Source organism: Homo sapiens, chromosome 21 (assembly GCF_000001405.40).
Source record: "Homo sapiens chromosome 21, GRCh38.p14 Primary Assembly".
In the NCBI taxonomy this organism is placed as follows: domain Eukaryota; kingdom Metazoa; phylum Chordata; class Mammalia; order Primates; family Hominidae; genus Homo; species Homo sapiens.
In genome coordinates this window covers 16,124,386-16,147,853 of record NC_000021.9, presented here as the reverse complement: position 1 = coordinate 16,147,853, position 23,468 = coordinate 16,124,386, and the positions used below count along the sequence as shown (strand labels likewise).

General features: G+C 38.4%; 1 long non-coding RNA gene across 5 annotated transcripts in view, besides 2 other annotated features; it reads right to left on the bottom strand.

Moving 5' to 3' along the window:
• MIR99AHG (mir-99a-let-7c cluster host gene) overlaps nucleotides 1-23,468 on the bottom strand; it is a 561,240-nt gene that overhangs the window by 483,874 nt on the left and 53,898 nt on the right. The gene's annotated exons all lie outside the window — the stretch shown is intronic.
• Nucleotides 1,471-1,971: an enhancer, noted in NCBI's record as "H3K4me1 hESC enhancer chr21:17518203-17518703 (GRCh37/hg19 assembly coordinates)". NCBI's record gives its function as "activates a minimal SCP1, AML or CMV promoter by ChIP-STARR-seq in primed H9 embryonic stem cells {active_cell/tissue: H9 hESC(primed)}" and the evidence as "EXISTENCE:reporter gene assay evidence [ECO:0000049][PMID:30033119]".
• Nucleotides 1,972-2,472: an enhancer, noted in NCBI's record as "H3K4me1 hESC enhancer chr21:17517702-17518202 (GRCh37/hg19 assembly coordinates)". NCBI's record gives its function as "activates a minimal SCP1, AML or CMV promoter by ChIP-STARR-seq in primed H9 embryonic stem cells {active_cell/tissue: H9 hESC(primed)}" and the evidence as "EXISTENCE:reporter gene assay evidence [ECO:0000049][PMID:30033119]".

Below are 23,468 nucleotides of genomic sequence, written 5' to 3'. Positions count from 1 at the left end.
TAGAGCACAGGCAGAGTGGATTTAACATAATTCTTAATGTCACTAAGACTTTTCAGAATGGTCAATGAGCATTGGCTTCAACTTAAAGTTACCAACTGCATTAGTCCTTACCAAGAGGGTCAGCCTGTCCTTTGAAACTTTGAAGCTGGGTATTGACTTCTCCTCTCTAGATATAAACATCCTAGATGTCATCTTCTTCCAATAGAAGACTGTTTCATCTACATTCAAAATCTGTTGTTTAATGTAGCCACCTTCGTCAATGCTCTTAGCTAGATCTTTTGGATAAGTTACTGCAGCTTCTCTATTAGCACTTGCTGCTTCACCTTGCACTTTTATCTTATAAAGGTGGTTTCTTTCCTTAAACCTCAGGAATCACTGTCTGCCAGCTTTCAACTTTTTTTCTGAAGATTTCTCATTTCTCTCGTTCTTCAAAAAGTTGAAGAGTTGGGGCCTTGCTCTGGATTAGACTTTGGTTTAAGGGAATGTTGTGCCTGCTTTGATCTATCCAGACTACTAAAGTTCTTCCATATCAGCAATAAATCTGTTTCACTTTATCATTACTGGGGTCACTGGAGTATCACTTTTAACTTCCTTTAAGAACTTTTCCTTTGCACTCACAACTTGGCACACTGTTTGGTGCAAGAGACCTAGCTTTCAGTCTGTCATGGCTTTTGACATGCCTTCCTTGTTAAGATTAATCTAGCTTAATCTAGCTCTTTAAGTGAGAGATGTGTGACTCTTCCTTTCACTCAAACACCTGGAAGTGATTATAGGGTTATCAATTGCCCTAATTTCAATATTGTTGTGTCTCAGGGAATAGAGAAGAGCAAAGAAAGGGAAAGAGATAAGGGAACGACTAGGCTATGAAGCAATCAGAACATTTATCAATTAAGTTTGCCCTCTTACATGCAGGAGGTTCATGGTGCCCCAAAACAATTCCAATAGTAATATCAAAGATCACTTATCAAAGACCACCATAGCAGATATAATAACAATAAAAAGGTTTGAAATATTGAGGAAATCACCACAATGTGGCACAGAGACACAAAGTAAGCACATGTTGTTAGAAAAATAATGCCAAGAAAGGAGGGAGGGTAGGATGGCTGACTAGACGCAGCCAGGTGAAACAGCTCCCACCTAGGGACGGAGACAGATCTGTTCCTAACAGATCTGCAGAGCGAAGGCACCAAGAGTGGAGGGAAGACACAGAAGCTAAGCTGAAGGGGAAGAAAACTGGGAACCTTGGCACGGAGCTCCCATGCAGCAGGACTCATTCTTGGCTCACAATGGCTCCAGGGAAATGGATGAGTTGAACTGGCAAGGAGCAACCCACCCTCACCGCAGGGCTCTGGGACTCCAGCAGGAGGAAATCCCTCGACCATCAAGGGCATTTGAGTTGGCAGGGAGAGCTGCTTAGAGAAGTGGTAGGGGCAACAAGACAGCTGATGTGGAACCCAGAGAGTTTGATGCGAGAGCATCTATAACATAGCACAGCCAAGGACAGTCACCCCCTAGACTTGACTTGCTCCTTTAGGAGACTTTAGCCCTAGAGGAACTGTCAGACCTGAACTCTGCAAGGCAGCCTTGAACATCAGACATAACAAGTACGACTTGAGCACCCCTTGGCTTGCTGCCCTCTTTCAGGGCCCCAGCCTGGCCATGCCTCCTGGCAGAGCAGTCTCGATTGCCCTGGGGACTCACAGCATAGCTTCTGTGCTGGTGGGCCATGTCTGACTGGTGGAGAGTTCCAATGGGGTGGCCCCTACAGACACACACCAGCCCACAAACTCTCCCACCCACATACTGTAGATTCTCCCAGGCCCAAGGCAACTCCTCACATTACTTTGCTGGCTCACATCTGTGAGAGCAGATTTTGCTTTCCTTGCCCTGCCAGCACATGGGAGTACAGACCACCCCACCTCCCCCGACGGACCACCATTGCAGATGGAACATTTGCAGGCACAGAGCCAGCCATCCCTGCCCCTGCCAGCTCCCTGACCTTGCACTAACACTGAACAAAGAACAGCAGAATTCTCCCCTGCCCTGAGGGATCGCTCCTGCTTGCGGGGCACAGAAAAGGCACCTAGACCTGTGCCTGCAGGCACCCTGTCCCCGAGCCAATACCACCTCCAGCAGGACCCTGCACACAGTCACCAGCAGGGGCCCCACCCCCTCCCCAGCTGCACTGCCTTTGCCACCGTGGTAAACATCCACAGGGAGGCAGGCACCACAATACCCGCTAGTACTCTGCCACAGCTGTTGCTACTGCTGCTGTGGGCATTCGCAAAGGAGGATGAATCCCGCTGTCCCCACACTTTGAAATGCTTTGGCTGACACCACTCATTGAAGTGTAGTGACCACTGATCTTGGGACCCCTCAGCCCCTCCCGCGCAGTGGATTCCTAACCTCAAGGAGCCGGAGAACAAAGTCAGGGCCCAATACAAGTCCCCCAAAGATAGCATACAGTCCAGTGGTTGGGAGCTGACCACTGGCCCCCTAGGATCTTCCGGAAATGAAGCAAGTTGGCAGAATCCACCCTACACCACAATCAAACCCTCAAGGTCATAAAATATAATAAAAGAAAAAGAAAATAATCCAAAGGTCAGCAATTTCAAAGACTGAGGGAACATCATGCACCCAACACAGCAGCACCCAGATTGATAAAGCAAGTTCTTAGACACCTTCAAAGAGAATTAGACTCCCACACAATAATAGTGGGAGACTTTAACACCCCACTGACGATATTAGACAGATCACCAAGACTGAAAATTCACAAAGATATTCAGACCTGACTTCAGCACTGGATGAGATGGACCTGATAAACATCTACAGAACTCTCCATCTAAAACAACAAAATATACATTCTTCTCCTTGCCACATGGCACATCCTCTAATGATCACATAATTGGAAAGAAAATACTCCTTAAATAATACAAAAGAACTGAAATTATAACAATCTCTTGAACCACAGTGCAATCAAATTAGAAAACAAGACTAAGAAATTCACTCAAAACCATACAATTACATGGAAATTGAATAGCCTGCTTCTGAATGACTTTGGGGTAAATAATGAAATTAAGGCATAAATCAAGAAATTTTTGAAACCATTGAGAACAAAGATAGAACATATCAGAATCTCTGGGACACAGCTAAGGCAGTGTTAAGAGGGAATTTTATAGCACTAAATGCCCACATCAAAAAGTAAGAAAGACTTTAACAACCTAATATCACAAATAAAACAACTAGAGGAACAAGAGCAAACAAACCCCAAAGCTGGCAGAAGACAAGAAATAACCAAAATCAGAGCTGAACTGAAGGACATAGACACCTGAAAAACCATTTGAAAGATCAATTAATCCAGGGGCTTAAAAAAATCAATAAAATAGACTGCTAACTAGACTAATAAAGAAAAGAGAGAAGATTCAAATAAACACAATCAGAAACAACAAGGGGATATTATCACTGACCTCACAGAAATACAAACAACCATCAGAGAACATTATGAACACCTCTATGGAAATAAACTAGAAAACCTAGAAGAAACAGATAAACTCCTGGATGCATACATCCTCCCAACACTGAACCAGCAAGAAACTGAATCTCTGAACAGACCGATAATGAGCTCTGAAATTGAATCAGTAATAAATAACCTACCAACCAAAAGAAGCTCAGAACCAGACAGATTCACAGCTGAATTCTACTAGATGTACAAAGAAGAGCTGGTACCATTCCTGCTGAAACTATTCCAAAAAAATGAGGAGGAGGAACTCCTCCCTAACTCATTCTATGAGGCCAGCACCATCCTGATACCAAAACCTGACAGACGGAAACAAAAAAGAAAACTTCAGGCTAATAACCTTGATGAACTTCAGGCCAATAACCTTGATGAACATCAATGCAAAAATCCTCTATAAAATACCGGCAAACCAAATATAGCAGCACATCAAAAAGCTCATCCTCCATGATCCAGTAAGCTTTATCCTTAGGATGCAAGGTTTTTCAACATAAATAGATCAATATATATGATTCATCACATAAATAGAACTAAAGACAGAAACCACATGATTATCCCAATAGATGCAGAAAAGGCTTTCGATAAAATTTAACACCCCTTCGTGTTAAAAACTCTCAATAAACTACGTATTAAAGTAATATACTTCAAAATAATAAGAAACATCTATGACAAACCCATAGTAAACATCATACTGAATAGGCAAAAGCTGGAAGCATTCCCCTTGAAAACTGGCACAAGGCAAGGATGTCCTCTCTCATCATTCCTATCCAACATAATATTAGAAGTCCAGCCAGGGTAATCACGCAGAACAAAGAAATAAGTGCATCTAAATAGGAAGAGAGGAAATCAAACTATCCCTGTTTTCAGATGACATACTCCTACATCTAAAAAGCCCCCTAGTCTCAGCACAAATACTCCTTAAGCTGATAAACAACTTTAGCAAAGTCTCAGGATACAAAATCAATGTGCAAAAAGCATTAACATTTCTATACACCAACAACAGTCAAGCAGAGAGCCAAATCAGAAACATAATCCCATTCACATCTGCCACAAAAAGAATAAAATATCTAGGAATACAGCTAAACAGGGAAGTGAAGGATCTCTATGAGAACTACAAAACACTGTTGAAAGAAATCAGAGATGACACAAACAAATGAAATAACCTTCCATGCTCACGGACAGGAAGAATCAGTATTGTTTAAATGGCCATACTGCCCAAAGCAATTTATAGATACAATCCTATTTCTATTAAACTACCATTGATGTTCTTAAAAGAACCAGAAAAAAACTCTTTTAACATTTATATGGAACCAAAAAAGAGCTCAAATAGCCAGAGCAATCCTAAGCAAAAAGAATAAAGCTAGAAGCATAACGTTATCTGACTTCAAACTATACTACAGGGCTATGGTAACCAAAGCATCATGGTACAGTATAAAAACACACATTTAGACCAATGTGACAGAATAGAGGGCACAGAAATAAGGCCACAAACCTACAACTATCTCATCTTCAACAACCCTGACAAAAAAAAGCCATTGGGAAAAAATTTCCTATTCAATAAATGATGTTGGAGTAACTGGCTAGCAATATGCAGAAGACTGAAACAGGATCCTGTCCTTAAATCATATGCAAAAATTAATTGAAGATGGATTAAAGACTTAAATGTTAAACCCAAAACTATAAAAATCCTGGAAGCCAACCTAGGCAATACCTTACTGGACATAGGAATGTGCAAAGATTTCATGATGAACATGCCAAAATAATTGCAACAAAAGCAAAAATTGATAGATGATGCCTAATTAATCTAAAGAGCTTCTGCACAGCAAAGGAAACTATCAACAGGGTGAACAGAAAACCTACAGAATGGGAGAAAATTTCACAAACTATGCATCTGACAAAACATAGTTTTTAACACCCAGCATCTATAAGGAACTTAAACAAATTTACAAGAAAACAAAACAAGAAATCTCAGTAAAAAGTGGGCAAAGCACATGAACAGACAATTCTCAAAGGACAATATAACATGCAGTCAGCAATCATGAAAAAAACTCAACTTTGGGAGGCAGAGGTGGGTGGATCATGAGCTCAGGAGATCGAGACCATCCTGTCCAACATAGTGAAGCCCCGTCTCTACTAAAAATACAAAAATTAGCTGGGTGTGGTGGTGTGCACCTGTAATCCCAGCTACTCGGGAAGCTGAGGTAGGAGAATCATTTGAACCTGGGAGGCAGAGATTGCAGTGAGCGGATATCGTGCCACTGCACTCCAGCCTGGCGACAGAGCAAGACTCCATCTCAAAGAAAAAAAAAAAAAAGAAATGCAAATCAAAACTACTATTGATTAAAGTGTAAATTAGTTCAGCCAGATGGAAGACAGTGTGATGATTCCTTTAAGACTTAAAAACAGAAATATTATTCAACCCCGCAATCCCGTTACTGGGTATATACCCAAAGGAATATAAGTCATTCTCTTATAAAGACACGTGAACATGTATGTTCACTGCAGCACTATTCACAATAGCAAAGACGTGGAATCGACCTAAATGCCCATCAATGGTAGACTGGATAAAGAAAATGTAGTTCATTTACACCATAAAACAGAATGAGACCATGTCCTCCACAGGAACATGGATAGAGCTGGAGGCCATTCTCCTTAGCAAATAACACAGGAACAGAATACCAAATACCACATGTTCTCACTTATAAGTGGGAGCTAAATGGTGAGAACACATGGACACATAGAGGGGAACAACACACATTGGGTCCTTTGGAGGGTGTAGGCTGGAAGGAGGGAGTGGATCGGCAAAAATAATAAATGGATACTAGGCTTAATTCCTGGGTGATGAAATAATCTGCACAACAAACCCCCATGACGCAAGTTGACTTAGCAAACTTGCACATGTACTCCTGAACTTAAAAGATACATTTAAAAAAGAAGACAAGTAATGACACTACACTTGCTTGACAGAAGGTCACCACAAACTTTCAATTTGAAAAAAATAATCCACAATATCTGCTAAGCAATAGAGCAAAGTGTAATAAAACAAGAAATGCCTATATTGGAGGGGAAAAGAAAATTTCATCTTGAAGAAAGACTTATGCTCCAAAAATGCCAAAGACACTAAGAAAATTATTTTCAATGTTGAGTAAAATGGCCTAAATACATGACACAGCAAAGTAAATAGCCATTTCATGAGACAACACAACCCAATTGGAAAATACAAAACAAAACTTACTCAAAAGGACAATAAACATACTATATATAGAATAATCTTAATAATAAATGATCTTGATATGGTTTAAATTTTAGCCTTATACTTCATCGTCTCTCAAATTGAAAAACATCCTGAGTTACTGAGTAAAAAGGTTACTTGTGGAAATATTTTGTTTCTTCCCCATCACTCAGTGGTGGTGTCAATGGTTGTGCAAAGTAGCCAGAGCTGGGTATATGCTGAAGACAGTCCCAGAGAAAGTTTCTGTTGAATTCCATGTGGAATGTCAAAGAGCAAACGGTCAAGGATGACCTAAAAATTTTGAACTGAAGAACTGCAAGGAAGAAGAAGATTGCAGGGGGAATGGATTAGAGGGTGAAAATAAGGAGTTTGATTTTGTATACTGCAAGTTTGGGTATCTATTAGGGACCTATGGGGAGAAGTTGAGGATGTATATTCTCACCTTAGTCCATCAAGAGAGATAGATGAAAGTAGAAAATTTCCTCTATTCTGAGTATATTTGATTCTAAAAATTTATTCCTAATTCTATTTAACGACTACGAATTAACACTAAAATTGATCTCTGCTCTGGCACGCAGCTCAAAAAGCTTGTTAGTTAAACAATTGAAAATTGAATGCTTTTAGATGAGCAAGAGAAATAAAGTACAAATTCAGAGCTACAGAGACGGAGTATCTGTAATCTGGGGAAGAAAAGGCAAAATTGCCTGATGGGATCAAATTTGTGTTAACCAACAGTCAGATCAGGGGTCAGCAAAGTATGACTGATGGGCCAAAGCCAGCCTAAGGCTGTTTTTGTGAATACAGTTTTATTGACCAAAATCACGCCAATTTGTTTATACATTATCTATAATGACTTTTGCTATACAATGGCAGACTTGTATAGGTGTCCCAAAAGTCTTAAAAATTTACTATCTGACCTGTTATAGAAAGTTTACAGACCTCTGAAGTATAATCAAAGCACTAAGACATACCGTCAGCCCTCCTTATCAGAAGGTTATGTATCCACAAATTCAACCAACTCTGGATCAAAAACACTTGGAAAAAAATGAAGCCATAAAAAATAACAATATAGCTGTAAAAATGATACAAATTTTAAAAACAATGCAGTACAACAACTACAATCATGCACAGCTTAAAGACAAAGATACGTTCTAAGAAATGTGTGCTCAGGTGATTCTGTCAGTGAAATTATCATAGAGTGTATTAACACAAGCTTAGATAGTAGCCACTACATATCTAGGCCATATGGAATAGCCTGTTACTCATAGGCCACACACCTGTGCAGTATGTTACTGTACTGAATACGATAAGCAATTACAACACATGGTAAGGATTTGTGTATCTAAACATAGAAAAGGAACACTAAAAATAAGGCATAAAAGATAAAAACGGTACACCTCTCTAGAGCACTGATACAGTTTGGATATTTGTCCCCATCTAAATCTCATGTTGCCTTGTAATCCCCAGTGCTGGAAGTGAGGCCTGGTGGGAAGAGTTTGGGTCATGGGGGCAGGTCCCTCATGGCTTGGTGCTGTCTTTGCCATAGTGAGTGAGTTCTTGTGATATCTGGTTGTTTAAAAGTATGTGCACCTCCTCTCACTCACTCTGTCTCTTTGTCTCTCTGTCTGCGTCTCTCTCTCCCTCTTGCTGTCTCTTGCTCCTGCTTCTGCCAAGTGACATGCCTATTCTCCCTTCACCTTTCACCATGCTTGAAAGCTCCCTGAGGTTTCACCCAAAGGTGAGCAGATGCGAGCACCATGATTCCTGTGAAGCCTGCAGAATTGGAGCCATTTAAACCTCTTTTCTTTATAAGTTACTCAGTCTCAGATATTTCCTTATAGCAATGCAAGAACAGCCTAATACAGGCATTTACCATGAATGGAGCATGCAAGCCTAGAAGTTACTCTGTGTGCGTCAGTGAGTGAGCGGTGAGTGAATGTGAAGGCCTAGGACATTTCTGTATGTACTGTAGACTTTGTAAACACTGTGAACCTAGGCTACACTAAATTCATGTTTTTCTTCAATAATAAATTAAACTTAGTTTACTGTAACTTTTTTATGTTACAAACTTTTTAATTTTTAAGCTTTTTTACTCTTGAATCAACACTTAGCTTAAAGCACAAACACATTTTACAGCCACACAAAAAATATTTTCCTTCTTCGTTTACTTGTTTTATGATTTTAATTTTTTATGTTTTAAATGTTTTTCTTAAAAACTAAGACATCAACAAATGCATTAGACTAGCCCTGCACAAGGTCAGGACCATCAATGTCACTCTCTTCCAGCTCCACATCTTTTCTCACTGGAAGGTTTTCAGGGACAATAACACCAATGAAACTGTCATCCCCTATGGTAACAATGCCTTCTTCTGGAATACCTCCTGATGGACCTGCCTGAGGCTGTTTTACAATTAACTTTTTTTTTTTAAGTAAAAAGAGTACACTCAAAATAACCATAAAATGTTTAGTACTCTAAACACATAAACCGGTAACGTAGTCGTTTACTATCATTACTAAGTATTATGTACCGTGTGTAATCGTATGTGTAGGTTTGTTTATACCAGCATCACCACCAACATGTGAATAATGCATATGGCTACAAGGTCACTAGAGAATAGAAATTTTTTAGCTATATTATTATCTTATGGGACCACCATCATATATGTGGAGCATTATTGAGTGAAAAGTTTTTATGTAGCACCTGACTGTATTTACACAGTATTTACATTGTATCAGTTATTATAAGTAATCCAGAGATGATTTATGGTATATGGGAGGATGTGCATAGGTTATATACAAATACTATGCCACTTGATAGGAGGGACTTGAGCAAGCTTTATTTCGAACCTCCATTACAATCTGAAAGAAAAAGCACATATAAAAATATTTCTATCACCATACGAAGAAGATCCAATTGCTTCCCTAATTTTTTACCGTGAAAACTGCACCACGAAGAGTTAAGTAATTGCCAATGATATCATAGGCAAAATAGGGCACAGTGAAGCTTCAAACTAGGCAAAATAGCTTGAGAGTCCATGCCTTTAATCCCTATTCTATATGCACATTATTCTCCTTTTACCCAAAAGGAAAATGAGGATCAGGGAGATTAAATATGTTGTTCAGTATTACGTGGGTACCAAGTAGTAAAGCTAGACTTCAAAAGCAAAGCTATGCCTCCCATTTTCCCAAGTAATTATTTCACTATATTAACCCTAAGGAGATAAAGAATTTTGAAGGTTACTGGAAGAAACTTATAATCATATATGGGTTGGAAAAATACACAAACCTACAAGAAAAGGAGCTCATTTCCATCCCAGGGAACAAATGATTTGTCTTATCTTAAAATAATGGCAAGAATGATATGGTTTCAGTTGTTAACAATAGCAATGCATACAATAGTCTTTAGAGTCTTTAAATAGAGTCTTTTAAAAAACTTCAATTTTTAAAATAAGGCAAATACACAATCTGCAGAGTATCTCTGATGCTATGAATGAGATTATGTCTAGAGTACAATGGTGGCAGGATACTCCTTAACAAAAACAAAGCAAAAATTAGATTTATTAGAAGTAATGTAGAAGGATGGATTGGAATTAAGATTCCCCTATGAAGCAGAGAGAAGTAGAATGACATAATTTCCAGTAAATGATCACAAGAACATAAGTGACATAATAGTGTGAGTAAATTGCAAGCTCCACAGTGTTCAAACTGAGGTATCTGATGTTTTCCTAATGCAGAAAACCAAAATGTCCCAGAAACAAGACATGGTAGTGATAAGAGTTTTCAAACACTTGACGATCTGTTGAAGTCCAAATGCTTCTATAAGTGACTCATTTGAACTTGTCTCCTTTTAGCAACTGTACAATCAACAAATATTCACCATGTGCCTGGCCTTGTCTTTAAGATGGTTGGTGTGACACACCTTAGCTGCTAGGAAAAAAGCTTCAAAAAGGTCAGAGAAAAAACAAATGTGAAACCATGATAAAATGCTAGCACAGATTATTAAATAGTTGAATATGTAATAATTAAGTTTATTAAATAAGTGTATTTGAATAATAAATGCTGCTCACCCAGAGGGAAATTGCTTGAGCTCCAGATCTTGGCTGAAGTGATTCCTACCCTGCAGAAAGTTAATAGTGGAACTTGTGGGCTGCCATGCTCAAATCACATGGCACTGCTACTCCTACTAATAATGGAGACAGTGATATAGAAGACTGCCTAGGAAAGATTATGAACTTCCTAGGCAGATAGTGAAGGACATTGACAGCTTTGTAAACTTGGGTAAACCTCTTAACTCCTCTTAGCCTGTTTTCTTATTTTTAATTGAGATAATGATGGGTCCTAAGTAAAAATATTTTACCATGTACTACAAAATCATATTTCCTAGCACAAAAATATGGTTAAATAGAAATCGGATGACATGTATCTGGGGTTCTATAAGAGGAAAATTAAAGGAGATGTCAACTAGATCCTAGCTCACAGTGTCTCATGATCCATCATAATCACCTTTGTGTTACTTAATAAACACCTGTATATTGTTAATTCTATGCCAGGCTCTGTCCTAGGGACTTTACAGATATTAACTCATTTTATCCTCATCAATATTTGTTTATGTGTACTATATTTTACATTTTGACACTTGACAATTGGGAGGACAATTATATCCATCCCGGATGCCAAAGACAAGAAACTACCAGGTAGTTACAAATGCATTAATTCAGCAGTCCCCAACCTTATTGGCACCTGGGATCAATTTCCTGGAAGACAACTTTTCCATGGACTGGGACTAAGGTGATGGTTTCGGGATGATTCAAGAGCATTACATTTATTGTGAACTTTATTATTATTACATTGTAATATATAAAGAAAGAATAATACAACTCACCTTCATGCAGAATCAGTGGGAGCCCTGAGCTTATTTTTCTACAACTAGATGGTCCCATCCAGAGGTGATGGGAGACAGTGACAATCATCAGGCATTAGATTCTCATAAGGAGTGTGCAACCTAGATCCCTCATACGTGCAGTTCACAATAGGGTTCACGCTCCTATGAGGATCTAATGCTGCCTCTGATCTGACAGGAGGCAGAGCTCAGGTGGTATTGCCAGTGATAAGGAGCAGCTGTAAATACAGATGAACCTTCCTTTGCTTGCTTGCCACTCACCTCCTGCTATGTGGCCAGTTCCTAACAGACCAAGGACTGGTACCAGTCCATGGCCCGAGGGTTGGGGACCCCTGCATTAAATTTCTAAATTCAAGTTTTGTGAAAATAGCTTTGGGGTCTATCATAGGTTCTTGTTCAATAACCACCTCAAAACTAAACACAGAGGTAGAATTTTTCCCCAGTTGAAAATAGACATAATATGTATACTATCAGACTCCATAATCTGATAGATAAGTCTCTGGTATTAAGGTCAGGATGTTGAATGCCGTATTATCCATTGCATCACAGAATTACATCATGTCTAAGTGAACAAAACCTAGTAGACAGGAAGAGAATCAATCTAGCATTTTGTTAATGGTCAATTTGAATGATCCCACAGTTAATCTCATAGGTTGTGGAGAAATATACCTGGGGAATATGAATCTACAGGGTCCCAGAGAAATACATCGTGCAGCATGGCCACAAACTTACTTTGTGACTTTAGTCAGTTATCTCCAAACTTCTCTGTTCTTTCTTTTGTAAAATGAAGGTCATATGCCCAAAGACAATTTCAGGAATACAAACTGGAACAGAATTAAGAAGTCTCCAAACCCCTCAGCTTATGATGACTCCTGGAGAGACGCTAGTCAACATAGGATTTGCTATGCTGTGGCACAAAACAACCCCCAGATTCACGTAGCTTGATACAGCAAATATTTATTTCCTTTTCATGTCGCAATGAACAAATGGCTTTCCTCTTCTTTTTACAACTCAGAGATCTCCTTGCTCCCATCTTGCAACTTGGCCATTTTAAAACCTTTGTTTGCTGCTTTGCAGATGACAAAGATTATTGAAAATTTATCCTGGTTCACTTAACTCCTTCAAACTGGAAGACAAACATCCCTTGGACTTATGTCCTGCACTTGTCACATGACCCCAACATAGCCACAGGGGATGCTTGCAAATATTGATGAACACATGGAATATTTGATTAGCATTCATGATCTCTTCCAGGACAGATGAATGAATATGCTCAAGATAATATCAGTAGCACATACCAGTTTCAAGGCCAGAACTCAGGAATTCTGGCTGCCAGTTCAATGCTCCCTTCAGATACCATGTGGGGTTAATACACTAATGTCTCCAAAGGCTTTAAAATTGGCAAAGGAACAATTCTTTCTCATTATAATAGCTTGCATTTCATAGAAATTTCTTAAAGGAAAAAATAAAACTTCTTCAACCAATACAGAAATACATACTCTTAATTAGCTTACTAGCAGGGTTACAAAAATCTGCCTACATTTCACCATTTTACATTATTCCAGAAACTGTATCCCAAAAACTGTTGTACTATGGTTCTTCTTTGAAAGGTTTTTATCAAAGCCCCAATCCAGAGTACACCTACTTGGTATTCCATCCTCTGCAAGTCAGAGTGTTTAGAGTGGAGAATCTCCTCGTGTGAATGAAATAGACTAATAAGTTGAGCTACAAAGTATGCAGATTCCTCAGAGGTATTTGAAAAGGTTTACAAAGCTTTCTAGGCTAAAAGGTTGGATCTTTAAGATCCTTTCTTTAAACCCAGAATGAAGGAATAAATCCCATTGTGTTTTGGTGGCTGGCTGCTTTCACGCAAGCATTCTTGGCTCCAGCCGTTCATGTTAGAAGCCACGGGTGCAATTCAGTCTACTGGACATTTTAAGAAAATGTGGTTAGCCAAGATCTGGGTTATAATAAAATCCTGAGTTGATCCCATGACTTGGCCAAACATTTAATTTTTTTTAACGAGTAAAGCTTTTTACATAACTACAATCAAGGATAAAAGAGGACAAGAAAATGGGTAGTTGTTTTTCATTTCACCATATTGATAGTTGCGAAGATCTTTCTGCCTTAAAAAAATAAAAAATAAAAACAGGTTCCTCATCCTTTCATTAATCCAGCCAAGAAAATAAGTGGACAAGTGCATACCTGTGGTGAATGCCATCAACACCTTCCATCTCCCACAGTTATCTACTAGTTCATTTTCTGCATTTTTTTTTGATCATTGCAACTCTTGAAGTCAGCGTTCAAGTAGTTTATGAGAGGCACCTCTGACATTCTAATAAAAATGCTGGTCACTACCTCCTCATTTCTTTCAAGACAAGGAAATTCAGTACAAAGACTGAGAGTTTTCTGTTCAAGTTTGTTCCTCTATATGCAAAAAGAAATAGTTCTAGTAAACCATCTTCTAATGGACATGCTGAAATCTATAATACATGTTCACTTTCTAAATAGATTGTTTCCATTCTTTTAAGCATTGAAAAAAGTACCACTGGGGGCTCCTGGGCAAGATGGCCAAACAGGAACAGCTCCGGTCTGCAGCTCCCAGTGAGACCGACACAGAAGGCCGGTGATTTCTGCATTTCCAACTGAGGTACCAGGTTCATTTCACTGGGACTGGTTAGACGGTAGGTGTAGCCCATGGTGGGTGAGCAGAAGCAGGGTGGGGTGTCCTCTCACACGAGAAGCACAAGGGGTTGGGGAACACCCTCCCCTAGCCAAAAGAAGCCTTGAGGGACCGTGCCAGGAGGAATGGTGCTATCCAGCCCAGATACTATGCTTTTCCCGCAGACTTCGCAATCCACAGATCAGGAGATTCCCTCGGGTGCCTACACCACGAGGGCCCTGGGTTTCAAGCACAAAACTGGGCGGCCTTTGGGCAAACACCAAGCTAGCTGCAGGAGGCTTTTTTCATTCCCCAGTCGAGCCTGGAACACCAGCAAGACAGAACCATTCACTTCCCTAGAAAGGGGGCTGACACCAGGGAGCCAAGTCTAGCTCAACAAATCCCAACCCCACGGAGCCCAGCAAGCTAAGATTCACTGGCTTGAAATTCTCACTGCCAGCATAGCAGTCTGAAGTCAACCTGGGACACTAGAGTTTAGTGGAGGGATGGGTGTCTGCCATTACTGAGGCTTGAGTAGGCGGTTTTCCCCTCACCGTGGATACAAAGCCTCAGGGAAGTTCGAACTGGGCAGAGCCCATGGCAGCTTGGGAAAGCCGCTGTAGCCAGACTGCCTTTCTAGATTCCTCCTCTCTAGGCAGGGCATCTCTGAAAGAAAGGCAGCAGCCCCAATCAGGGGCTTATAGATAAAACTCCCATCTCCCTGGGGCAGAGCACCTGGGGGAAGGGGCAGCTGTGGGTGAAGCTTCAGCAGACTTAAACGTTCCTGCCTGCTGGCTCCCAGCAGGATCTCCCAGCACGGTGCTCAAGCTCGGCTAAGGGACAGACTGTGTCCTCAAGCGGGTCCCTGACCCCCATGCCTCCTGACTGGGAGAAATCTCCCAGCAGGGGTCGACAGACACCTCATATAGGAGAGCACCGGCTGGCATCTGGTGGGTGCCCCTTTGGGATAAAGCTTCCAGAGGAAGGAGCAGGCAGCAATCTTTGCTGTTCGGCAGCCTCTGCTGGTGATACGCAGGCAAACAGGGTCTGGAGTGGACCTCCAGCAAACTCCAACAGACCTGCAGAAGAGGGCCCTGATTATTAAAAGAAAAACTAACAAACAGAAAGCAATAGCATCAACATCAACAGAAAGGATGACCACTCAAAACTCCAACCAAAGGTCACCAACAGGAAAGACCAAAGGTAGATAAATCCACGAAGATGAGGAAAAACCAGCACAAAAAGTCTGAAAAATCCAAAACCAGAATGCCTCTTCTCCTCCAAAGGATCACAACTCCTTGCTAGTGAGGGGACAAAATAGGATGGAGAATGAGTTTGATGAACTGACAGAAGTAGGCTTTAGAAGGTGGGTAATAACGAACTCCTCCAAGCTAAAGAAGCATGTTCCTACCCAATGGAAGGAAGCTAAGAACCTGATAAAAAGTTAGAGGAATTGATAACTAGAACAACCAGTTTAGAGAAGAACCAAGATGACCTGATGGAGCTGAAAAACACAGCACGAGAACATCATGAACCATACACAAGTATCACTAGCCGAATCGATCAAGTGAAAGAAAGGATATCAGAGATTGAAGATTGACTAATGAAATAAAGCGTGAAGACAAGATTAGAGAAAAAAGAATAAAAAGGAATGAACAAAACCTCCAAGAAATATGGGACTATGTGGAAAGACCAAACCTACATTTTATTGGTGTCCTTGAAAGTGACAGGCAGAATGGAACCAAGTTGGAAAACACACTTCGGGATATTATCCAGGAGAACTTTCCCAACCTAGCAAGACAGGCCAACATTCAAATTGAGGAAATACAGAAAACACCACAAAGATACTCCTCGAAAAGAGAAACCCCAAGACACATAATCATCAGATCCACCAAGGTTGAAATGAAGGAAGAATGTTCAGGGCAGTCAGAGAAAAAGGTCAGGTTACCCACAAAGGGAAGCCCATCAGACTAACAGTGGGTTTCTCTGCAGAAATCCCACAAGCCAGAAGAGAGTGGGTGCCAATATCTGACCTTCTTAAAGAAAAGAATTTTCAACCCAGAATTTCATATGCAGCCAAACTAAGCTTCATAAGCGAAGCAGAAATAAAATTCTTTACAGACAAGCAAATGCTGAGAGATTTTGTCACCACCAGGCCTGCCTTAGAAGAGCTCCTGAAGGAAGCACTAAATATGGAAAGGAAAAACCGGTGCCAGCCACTGCAAAAACAAACCAAAATGTAAATACCATCGACACTATGAGGAAACTGCATCAACTAATGGGGCAAAATAAACAGCTAGCATCATAATGACAGAATAAAATTCACACATAACAATATTAACCTTAAATGTAAATGGGCTAAATGCCCCTATTAAAAGGCACAGACTGACAAATTAAATAGAGTAATCAGTGTCCTGTATTCAGGAGACCCATCTCATGTGCAAAGGCACACATAGGTTCAAAATAAAGGGATGGAAGAAGATTTACCAAGCAAATGAAAAACAAAACAAAACAAAAAAAGCAGGGGTTGCGATCTCAGTCTCTAATAAAACAGACTTTAAACTAACCGAGATCAAAAAGACAAAGAAGGGCATTACATAATGGTAAAGGAATTAATGCAATGAGAAGAGCTAACTATCCTAAATATATATGCACCCAATACGGGAACATCCAGATTCATAAAGCAAGTTCTTAGGGACCGGCAAAGAGACTTAGACTCCCACACAATAATAGTGGGAGACTTTAACACCCCACTGTCAATATTAGACAGATCAAGGGAGAAAATTAACAAAGATATTCAGGACTTGAACTCAGCTCTGGGCCAAGCAGATCTAATAGACATCTACAGAACTCTCCACCCCAAATCAACGGAATATACAATCTTCTCAGCACCACATAGCACTTATTCTAAAATCAACCACATAATTGGAAGTGAAACACTCCTCAGCAATTGCAAAAGAATGGAAATCGTAACAAACAGTCCCTCAGACCACAGTGCAATTTAATTAGAACTCAGGATTAAGAAACTCACTCAAAACTGCACAACTACATGAAAACTGGACAACCTGCTCCTGAATGACTACTGGATAAATAACGAAATTAAGGCAGAAATAAATAAGTTCTTTGAAACCAATGAGAAAAAAGACACACTGTATCAAAATCTCTGGGACACAACTAAAGCAGTGTTTAGAGGGAAATTCATAGCACTAAATGCCCACAGGAGAAAGCAGGAAAGATCTAAAATCAACACCCTAACATCACAATTATAAGAACTAGAGAAGCAAGAGCAAACAAATTCAAAAGCTGGCAGAAGACAAGAAATAACTAAGATCGGAGCAGAACTGAAGGAGATAGAGACATGAAAAACCCTTCAAAAAAATCAATGAATCCAGAAGCTGACTTTTTTACAAGATTAACAAAATAGACCGCTAACTAGACTAATAAAGAAGAAAAGAGTGAAAAATCAAACAGACACAATAAAAGGTGATAAAGGGGAGATCATCACTGATCCCACAGAAATACAATCTGCCATCAAACAATACGATAAATGCCTCTATGCAAATAAACTAAAAAATCTAGAAGAAATGAATAAATTCTTGGACACATATACCCTCCCCAGACTAAACAAGGAAGTAGTCAAATACCTGAATAGACCAATTACAAGTTCTGAAATTGAGGCAGTAATTAACAGCCTACCAACCAAAAAAGCCCAGGACCAGATGGATTCACAGCCGAATTCTACCAGAGGTACAAAGAGGAGCTTGTACCATTCCTTCTGAAATTATTCCAAACCATAGAAAAAGAGGGAATCCTCCCTAACTCATTTTATGAGGCCAGCATCATCCTGATACCAAAATCTAGCAGAGACACAATAAAGAAAGAAAATTTCAGGCCAATATCCCTGAGGAGCATCAATGCAAAAATCCTCAATAAAATACTGGCAACCTGAATCCAGCAGCACATCAAAAAGCTTATCCACCACAATCAAGTTGGCTTCATTCCTGGGATGCAAGGCTGGTTAAACATATGCAAATCAATAAACATAATCCATCACATAAACTGAACTAATGACAAAAAACACATAATTATCTCAATAGATGCAGAAAGGGTCTTCAATAAAATTCAACACTCCTTCATGCTAAAAACTCTCAATAAACTAGGTATTTATGGAACATATTTCAAAATAATAAGAGCTATTTATGACAAACTCATAGCCAAAAATCATACTGAATGGGCAAAAGCTGGAAGAATTCCCTTTGAAAACCAGCACAAGACAAGGATGCCCTCTCTCACCACTACTATTCAACATAGTATTGGAAGTTCTGGCCAGAGAAATCAGGCAGGATAAGGAAATGAAGGATATTCAGATAGGAGGAGGGGAAGTCAAAGTATCTCTGTTTGCAGATGACATGATTGTATATTTAGAAAACTCCATCGTCTCAGCCCCAAAACTCCTTAAACTGATAAGCAACTTCAGCAAAGTCTCAGAATACAAAATCAATGTGCAAAAATCACAAGCATTCCTATACACCAATGATAGACAAAGAGAGAGCCAAATCATGAGTGAATTCCCATTCACAATTGCTACAAAGATAATAAAATACCTAGGAATCCAACTTACAAGGGATGTGAAGGACCTCTTCATGGAGAACTGCAAACCACTGCTCAAGGAAATAAGAGAGGACACAAACAAATGGAAAAACATTCCATGCTCATGGATAGGAAGAACCAATATCTCAAAAATGGCCATACTGCCCAAAGTAATTCATAGATTCAATGCTATTCCCATCAAGCTACCATTGGCTTTCTTCACAGAATTAGAAAAAACTACTTTAAATTTCATATGGAGCCAATAAAGAGCCCATATAGCCAAGACAATCCTAAGCAAAAAGAACAAAGTTGGAGGCTAAAGATGTAAATGTAAGACCTAAAACCATAAAAACCCTAGAAGAAAACCTAGGCAATACCATTCAGGACATAGGCATGGGCAAAGGCTTTGTGACTAAAACACCAAAAGCAGCTGCAACAAAAGCCAAAATTGACAAATGGGATCTAATTAAACTAAAGAGCTGCTGCACAGCAAAATAAACTATCATCAGAGTGAACAGACAACGTACAGAATGGGAGAAAATTTTTGCAATCTATCCATCTGACAAAGGGCTAATATCCAGAATCTACAAGGAACTTCAACAAATTTACAAGAAAAAAATAAACAACCCCATTAAAAAGTGGGTTAAGGGTATGAACAGACACTTTTCAAAAGAAGACATTTATGCGGCCAACAAACATAAGAAAAAAATCTCATCATCACTGGTCATTAGAGTAACACAAACCAAAACCACAATGAGATACCATCTCATGCCAGTTAGAATGGTGATCATTAAAAAGGCAGGGAACAATAGATGCTGGAGAGGATGTAGAGAAATAGGAACTTGTTTACACTGTTGGTGGAAGTGTAAATTAGTTCAACTTTTGTGGAAGACAGTGTGGTGATTCCTCAAGGATCTAGAACTAGAAATACCATTTGACCCATCAATCCCATTACTGGGTATATACCCAAAGGATTATAAGTCATTCTACTATAAAGACACATGCACACGTACATTTATTGCAGCACTATTCACAAAGCAACGCTTGGAACCAACCCAAATGCCCATCCACGATAGACTGTATAAAGCAAATGTGGCACATATATACCATGGAATACTATGCAGCCATAAAAAGAATGAATTCATGTCCTTCGCTGGGACATGGATGAAGCTGGAAACCATCATTCTCAGCAAACTAACACAGGAACAGAAAACCAAACACCACATGCTCTCACTCATAATTGGGAGCTGAACACTGAGAACATATGGGCACAGAAAGGGGAAGATCACACACCAGGGTCTGTCGGGGCATGGGGTGCAAGGGGAGGGATAACATTAGGAGAAATACCTAATGTAGATGACGGGTTGATGAGTGCAGCAAACCACCATGGTCCATGTATATCTATGCAACAAACCTGCAGATTCTGCACCTGTACCCCAGAACTTAAAGTATAATAAAAAAAATAAAAAGAAAAAAAGTACCACCACTTATTTTTGCTAATCTGAGATAATTCTGTGTCAATAAAATTGGAATTTGCTGGTAATAAAAACTCGAACTGATAAAGTTTGATCACATTTTATTTTATTTGCTTACTTACATTTCAACATCACACAGCCAAATTTAATTTCTTATTTATCTTTGAATTTTGTGTCCCTAGCACCCTGGGATCAGTTTTGAGAAAATATATTTTAATAGATTAATAGACAGTTCTTGGTCTATAGAGAAAATAATGTGTGTTCATTCAGAAGTAATAGTGTAATAGTGAATGAACATATTTACCAATGTAACTAGTTCTGCTTCCTTCATGATAAATTTAAATTTACAAGGTAAAAAAAATAATTTTTAATTACTAGAGATATAAAGCACATAATTATATAGCCTATATATAAACATACAGCCTATGCTAACCAAACTAAATGTTTATAATTTGTAAATAACCAATAAAATGTTAAAGGTAGAAAGAACCATTGAGAGCTTCTAGTTCTTTCCATTTGATGAAAGGTAAGCCCAGAAAGGAAAAGATCCCAAAGGCACATGATGAATTCATAGCAGAATCCAAATCCAAACCTGGTAGTATGAATAAAAAGTCAGTGCTTTGTTCTTCATTCTATTTATTCAAATATGATAAAATATGTAAAGAAATTATTCACTTGTATACCAGATGTCATTAATTTTAATTGATGTGACCACATAAGGTATTAATAAACAGCTCTCAACAAAAATATTTGAAGGGGTCGTTAATCTTATTTAAATCTTGGAACATAATACTTGGAGAATTCAATTTTTTAAATTGTAAATATAAAATATTTGCTGTGTTAGAAACAAAATTGGAAGACACTTATTCAAGAGGTGATCTGCTCTTGTTTTCCGAGTGGTAAATGTTAAATTCTACATTTCTGAACAAATTTATTTATCAGTTTTAAATTCTACAGACATATTTACAAGCAGAATATTCACATATTTATTAATATTTTTGTTTCATGCTGAGAATATAGAAGAGCATTATGATAATATCCTTAACTTGATACATCTAATTTTTATACACGTGCCCTATATTTATAACTGCAATATTTTTGGCATAATCTTAAACAGATGGTGGGGTATTTAATGATGCCTCTGGGTAAAAATCAATAGTATCTGAAGCCAGGGTTTATGAATTCACAGAAAGAGAAATGTACATCTTCTATCACTTCAAACACTACTTTTGAGTTTGTTTTCTATTTATCTTTATTACCCAACATGGAATTTTTTTAATAAGGATTAATAAAGGATTTTGTTTAGGATCAAAAAAAATTTGGAATACAAAAGGAACTTACACCTGAGATTTTTCTCTGAGGACTACAGACCACAGTTTTCTTTGTTTAGGGTATACAATATGTTTATAACTTTATGCTTCTCCTTCTACCTTTGCATAAAAATACTATGCACGATTTTCAACTCATATCCAGTGATGTTATGTTGTTACAGTTTTTAAGTAATAAAGGACTTGCGACTCAGGAAAATCATTTCATTTGAACACGACCTAAGATAATGTAATACTAAAAGAAAGCCTTTTAGAAAAATAAATGAATTTAAAAATTTCTGGAACTCCCCAGAATAGCTGCTTATTTTAAAATCAAATTAACAATATGCAGTTAAATATAAAATGTTGTTATACTTATATAGTTAAATATTTCTTATTATTGCTTTGGAAGCATATGGAGTGATTTTCATTTTGCCATTTAAGAATACAATATAATAATTTTTAAGAAACATAATATGAGACAGTTCAATGTATAAAAATCTCTTTGCAATGTGATTATAAAATCTTCCAAAATTATCTTTGAGTAGATATTTTCTTTCAGTGAAGAAAACGTTACACTCGTCCACACAAAAGAATTATTTTCTAACTTGAGAAACCCACGTTTCATGAAAGTCACTAGCCTGTCTCAAGGTTTAATTGAAACCAAATGAAGTCTAGTAAAACTAATCAAAACCAAACAAGCCTTGGGCTACGAGAAGAACTTACTGTTGGCAGGTTTCACCTCGAGTTACGGCTCTTGAAGATTTGGTTAGAATACTCCACAATCAAATTTAAAATGCTGCCATGCCTTCTGAACTAGACATAAAATTTCTCCCAGAAGTTCTATGAATAGTTAAATTAAAAATGCCACCTTATTACCTCAGAATTATACTATGACCAGTAAGAAAGGCAAATGATGTTAAATTAATTAAGAGAAAGTAGTGGATGATAAAAAATGAAGTTTTCCAGATATTAAAATCTATATGTTACATTAACACCACTCATTAAACAGAAATTTCAAGAAATCTCTCAAAAATCTCAATGCATAATTTGCAGAGATGATGTCACAAGAGCTGAAATCTCAAAACAAATGCACGGGTGGGATAGAAATCAGTAAAAATGAAGAGAAAAAGACAAACTAGGGTTATTGGAGGGAGTACCGGACCAGAAGCTGAACAGGGCCATGTGACTCTCAGCTTCTTGCACTTGAGTTTTGCTACTACTAAACAAGAGTAATATTTCTAACTCTTACCGTACACTTCTCTCAGATGTAGTCATGTAAAGAGTGATGCAAATGGAAGTTATTGTGAAAGCGTAAAACAGATAGCAGCAAATATCTGTGAGCTAAGGAAGAGAAAAGATGATCACTCCGAAATTACTGGTTCATTAATTACATTTTCCTCTTTTGTATTTGAAGGCAAAGAACTGATAGAGAAACAGTGACTTTAGCTTTGAGAAATAAAAATACAAGTATTTAGATGCATTGTGCTACATGTTAAGCAAGAAGAAATTTATTATCCTCTGAGTAATGCATGTCTTAAGCAAATACCTATGCAATGTTTCAACAGAATAGTAAGTAATATGACCATTTGCTGAATAGAATACAAATGTTACATATAAAAGTGATTTAAGAGACTGGTGTTGCAATATGGAATAGGTCCAAGAATGACTTTTCATTCCATGCACTTGGGCTCCTGCCAGGTTACTTTAAAAATTATGGAGTGTTAAAAAAAAAAATAGACACAAAATAAAACAGGAATGTCCTAAGGGAAAATATTAAGAAAATTT